Source organism: Homo sapiens, chromosome 8 (genome assembly GCF_000001405.40).
Source record: "Homo sapiens chromosome 8, GRCh38.p14 Primary Assembly".
NCBI classification, from domain to species: Eukaryota; Metazoa; Chordata; class Mammalia; order Primates; family Hominidae; genus Homo; species Homo sapiens.
In genome coordinates, this window is record NC_000008.11 from 57,301,962 (window position 1) to 57,307,961 (window position 6,000).

Genomic DNA, 6,000 nt, shown 5'->3' on the forward strand with positions numbered 1-6,000 from the left:
CATGTAGGATATTTTCAGCTGGTAATTGGATAATAGGCATTTAGAGCTGGAGCTAGACTCTATGGTTGAAGTTGCAGACTTAGAATGATTTTATTATAATTATTAGACAAAGCCATAGATCTTAATGAGCTTGTCCATAATGCAGAATATGTAGAAGAAGTAGAAGAAAGCCCTTGACAAAACCCAGGGAATATTAACATTTTTCAGAGGAAAAAGAGTTGGTAAAAGAGACTGAGCAGTGGCAAGAGAAAAGTAGGAGCAAAGTCAGAGGGAGTGATGTTGCAAACATTTTTGGAAAGATGAGTATTTCAAGCATGAAGTATCAATACTAACAGCAATAAGTAAATTGGATTTAGCTTTTAAAAGCTCTTTGGTGGTACCCTTTTTTAAAAAAAATTTAGAGTTCTTAGGTGTACTATTAATATGATTGATACTTCTGGTGGTCAAGAATCTACCAAGATGCCAAAAGTTACCAACTTCTTTGCAGCTACATACACAGGGTCAGAGAATGTTATTTAGACTAATGAGTACATGTGTCAACATTTTCCAGGACTGTCAAAACCTAAGGATCAGGTGTGAAGAAAGATCTTGTCTTTCTTAGCTGCTTCTTGTGGAAATACTTCATTTGTATTTCCTGAAAGAAAGAATGCTTTCAGTCACTCTAAAAGAAAAACCTGGTACCAACAACTAGAAGCTACTGTCAGATGCACATATACCCCTCCTCAATACAACCGTGTTTTGAGAGTTTCACATTTGAATCAGAAGTAGTTTACAAGCCAGCAGCTTGGAGAAATTGACATTTTAATAATAATATATTGCAGACAACTAATATAATGTCATATGGGGAGATATGGAGGGAAATATGGAGATATGCTTTATATACTAGTTTTCAGTATTCTGGGAATTTTAGGGATATCTGTAGAAAAGTTAGTACCTGTCTTTTTGTTAGTGCAATTCCCCTTTATTTTGCTATCTTCTGTTATCTCTGCTTTTACTGCTTCCTTTTGAATTTCATCCTTAAAGAAAGTACTTTTAGAACACATTTTTAAGATATGTATGTTTGACAAATGTGTATTATTTCCTTTTAAAATAATATACTCCATATCCTAAAGTATATCTGGTATTCTATGTTTCTAAAACTGAATTTCTTTATATGCATACCATAGTGACAGTGTCACTGATAATGCTCTGCCAAGATTTTAAGTGTCTTCTCAATTGTCAAGCTCAAATTGTTTTATCTGAAATAGTTTTAATATGAAGTTTTTTTCTGGTATTATATTTCTTCAGAAATTGGTAATCTGTGATTTAACTAGATTATGAGGTAAAATTCAATTACCATATTTATAAGTAAGTTGAAAGTTTGATTGATTTTTGATGGTTAAATCCACAATTTATGGGGAGCAGTAGATAAATCATCTTACATTGTGGAAGGAATTCTTTTGACTCTTTGACTTTTCTGAGAAGAACTGCCTTAAACAGGTCCACTGTGTTTTTAGTATTATAAAAAATTAAGAAAAAAATTAAAAACAAAGTGATTTCTATTATTAGTTAAACACTATTATACTTTATTCAGTGGATATATGTTTTTCTACAATTATCTCACCTATCTAAATTAAGCACACTTATTGCTGTACATATGTAGGTATGTATGTATTTATTTATTTACTATTTAAGAGACAGGATCTTGCTATGTTGCCCAGGGTGGAGTGCAGTGGCAATTCACAGGAGTGATCATAGGGCACTATAGCCTTCAACTCCTAAAGTCAAGCCATTCCCCAAACTAAGCCAGTCAAGTAGTTGAAACTATAGCCATGTGCCACCATGCCTGCTCTTATGCACAATTATTATGAAAAGGAAATTAACCCTGCTGAGTTGTAAACTATTGACTTAATCTTCACACTTTTTAGTACAAATGTTTATACTGTAGAACATACTGTGCATTAGGAAAATTTTTTTTCTGGTTGAAATAGGATTTGTGCATGTTTCCCTTTTTTTATACATCATTGTTTCATTTATCCCTTTTATTCTGCTATTGCAATAAATATAGAAAGGCAGAAATTTGAGAGGCAAATATCAAGAAAAATGGATTTTAAAAGTATTATGTGAAATAGCCTTCTGATTGTAGTCACATTTAACACATCAAATTAATTAAATAAAGAAATCTCACATAATGCAATTTTATCAGGGGTTCCTAAGACCACCTCCAGGTTTGGTGTTACACTAGAGGGGCTCACATTTGAGATGAATGTATGTTTGGCAAAAGAAAGCTGACAAGATTGAATGTTTGTCAGAAAGAACATCTGACAAGAGTAATTTTTTGACAAAAGAAACAGCTGACAATATTGAATGGCTGAGAGAAAAAAAAAAAACACCTGAAAAGGGTCATTGTTTGACAGAAGGAGTATATAGATCTTAGAAGATTGCATGGTTAACAGGAGGAAGACCTAGGAAAATAGCATGGTCTACAAAAGAAACATCTGAATAGATTGAAGACTTAGGAGAAAAGGCATGTGATAAGATTAAATACTTCGCAGAGAAAACACTTGAAAAGACTGAATATTTGGAAGGAGGAATTTTAGTGTCTGTGGATGGATAAAGGTCTGCCCTAACCTAAAATCTTGCCTTATCAGAAGAAAGAATTCAGCTGAGGAGCATAGGGCAGAGTGAGAGACACTGACAAGTTTTAGAGCAGGAGTGAAAGTTTATTAAAAAGTATTGGAGAAGGAATGAAAGGAAGTAAAGTACACTTGGAAGAGGTCCAGGCATGCAACCTGAGAGATCCAAGTGCACAGTTTGACCCTTGACATGGGTTTTTATAGGTTGGTAGACTTTGGGGGATGCATTACTTCTCTGATCCTTCCCTTAGAGCAGGCTCTCACATGTGCAGTGGCCTGTCAGTACTTGGAAGGGACCACTTGTACAGAGTCTTTGTTAGAGATTTATGCATTCTCACTTGAGGCATTCCACCTTTATCTGTTGAATTTTTTCTGAAAATTGTCATATACCAGTTAAACTCTGCCATTTTGCCTCTTAATGTGCATGCATGAGCCCATTAGCCCAACTCTTGAAATCTTATCAGGAAACTGATCACTAGCTTCAGATGTTTCCCTTTATTGGGAATCTGCCTTTTACTGGTGCTGGTGGCAACCCATTATTATTTTAGAGAGGCCTGACCATCACTTCGTGGTTGCCTGACATTCCTAGTGAGAAGAGGCCCTCTCTGCCCTGCTAATGTCTGACTAGCTACCTACTGTAATAAAAACATTGGTCAAGATTGAATGTTTGGCAGAAGAAACATCTGACAAGATTAAATGTTTGACCAAAGAAACACTGGACAGGACTGAATGTTGGTTAGAAGAAACATTGGACAAGATTGAATGTTTGGCAAGAGAAACAGCTGACAAGATTGTATGTTTGGTCTAAAAGAAATCTGACAAGATTGAATGCTGGGGTGAAGAAACATCTGATAAAATTTAACACATGGCAGAAGAAACAACTGACAATAGAATGGTTGACAGAGGGAACATTTAAGAAGATTGCACATTGGGCAGAAGGAACAACTGGGAAGATTGCATGGTCACAGCAGAAACATTTAAACAGATTTCATGGTGGGCAGAAATAGTATCCAAGAAGACTGCATGGTTGGCAGAGAGAAAACCTGAAAATGTGCATGACCTGTAAAAGAAACATGTAAAATAATTCAATATTTGGCAGAAGAAAACATCTGACAAGATTGAATATTTTCCCAGGAAAAATGCTGACAAGATCTAATGTTTGGCAATAGGAATTTTAGTGATTGTGGATCAGTAGAAGCCTGCTGAAGCCTCAATTCTTGCCCCCTTAGAAGAAATAATTCAACTGAGGGGCATTAGGCAAAGTGAGAGACCGAGGCAAGTTTTAGAGCAGGAGTAAAATTTATTAAAAAGTAAGAGCAAGAAAGAAACGAAGTAAAGTACACTTAAAGAGGGCCAAACATGTGACTTTAGATATCAAGTTCATGATTTGACCTTTTACTTGGGGATGTATAGGCTGGCAGGATTCTGAAGTTGCATTACTTTTCTGACTCTTTTCTTGGACCAGTCTGTCTGCATGCATAGTGGCCTATCAGCACATGTACAGTGTGTTTACTGGAGTTGTATGCACCTTCAATTAAGTTTCTTTATTCTTTTTTAATCATTTTTTATTGATTTTTTTTTTTTTTTGCCAGTTGAATGTTCCCAGAGAAAGGTCATAAATGTTTTAAACTCCACCATTTTGCCCCTTAGTGTGCATGCATAAGCCTATTCACTCAACTCTTGAGATTATTGGGAAACTGCTGATCAACAAGTGTAGGTGTTTCTATCTATTGAAAGACTGCTTTTCCTTGGTGCAACTAACTATTATTTCATAGAAGCAGTTTAACAACTACCTGACCATCAACTCGTGGACGACATTTTTGGTGGGGATGAAAAAGCTTTTATGTCCTGATCATATCTGACTAGCTAACTACTGTAACAGAAACAGCAAACAAGATTGAATGTCTGACAGAAGAAATATCTGTAAAGGTTGGATGTTTGGAGAAGAAGCATCTGACAACCTCACAAGCTTGGAAGTAAGACCAACTGATTAGATTGCATGTTAAAGAGGAAGAACATCTGAAAAGTGAAAAGTTTGAATATTTGGCAGAAAATACATCTGAAAAGTTTAAATGTTTGGCAAAAAATCACATCTGACAAAGGTTGCATGTTTGGCAGAAGAAACATCTGACAAATTAGAATGTTTGACAAAAGAAACAATTGATACAACTGAATGTGTGGCAGAAGAAACATTTTAGAAAATTTCAGGTTTAGCAGAAGGAACATTTAAGAAGACTGAAGGTTTGGCAGAAAAAAAAACATATTAAAACATAGCATGGTTGACAGCAGAAACATTTAAGCAGATTGTGTGGTGGGCAGTAGAGAGACCTAAGAAGATTATATGGCTTGCAAAATAGACAACTTAAAAGATAAAATATTTGACATAAGAAACCACCTGATAAAAAATGTTAGTAAGAAGAAACATTTGACAAGGTTGTATGTTTGGCAGAAGGAACATCTGAAAAGTTTCCACATTTGGCAGGAAGAACATCTGACAAGCTTGCACATCTGGCATAAGAAACATCTGACGAGGTTTCTGTTTGGCAGAAGAAATATTTGATAAGGCTGAATATTTGGCAGACATCATCAGACAAGGTTGAATGTTTGGCAAAAGGAATATGTAAGAAGTTTGAATATTTAGCAAGAGAAAGATCTGATTCAACTGAATATTTGGCACAAAATTTGTTTACAAGACTGCATGTTTAGCAGAATAACTGCATGTTTGGTGGTAGGAACATCTCAGAAGATTGCACATTTGGCAGAGGGAACATCTGACAAGGCTGCACATTAGGAAGAAAGAACATGTGACAAGTTTGAACGTTTTGCAAAAGGAGCATCTGAGAAGGTTGCATGTTTGGCAGAAGGAACTTCTAACAAGTCTGCATGTTTGGCAGAAAAAAGTCAAGATTGAATATTTGGCAAATGAAACATCTCCCAAACTTGCATGTTTAACAGAAAACAAAACATCTGAGAAGACTGCATGTTTGGCAGAGACAACATCTGAGAAGGTTTGATGTTTGCAGAAAGAATTTCTGACAAGCTTGCATGTTGGACAGAAGGAGCTACTGATAAGTTTGCAGGTTTAGCAGAATGAACATGTGAAAACATTGCATAAGTTTGGCAGAAAAAATATCTGAAAAGATCGCATGTTTGGCAGAATGAACATCTGATAATATTACATGTTTGGCAGAAGTAATATCTGATAAAGTCTCATGTTTGGCAGAAGAAAAAATTACATGTTTGGCAGAAGTAACATCTGACAAGTTTCAATGTTACCCAAAAGAAGCATCTGAGAAGATTGCATGTTTGGCAGGAAGAACATCTGACAGGATTGCATGTTAGGCAGTAGAAAATGTGACAAGCTTTTATGTTGGCAGAAAAACAA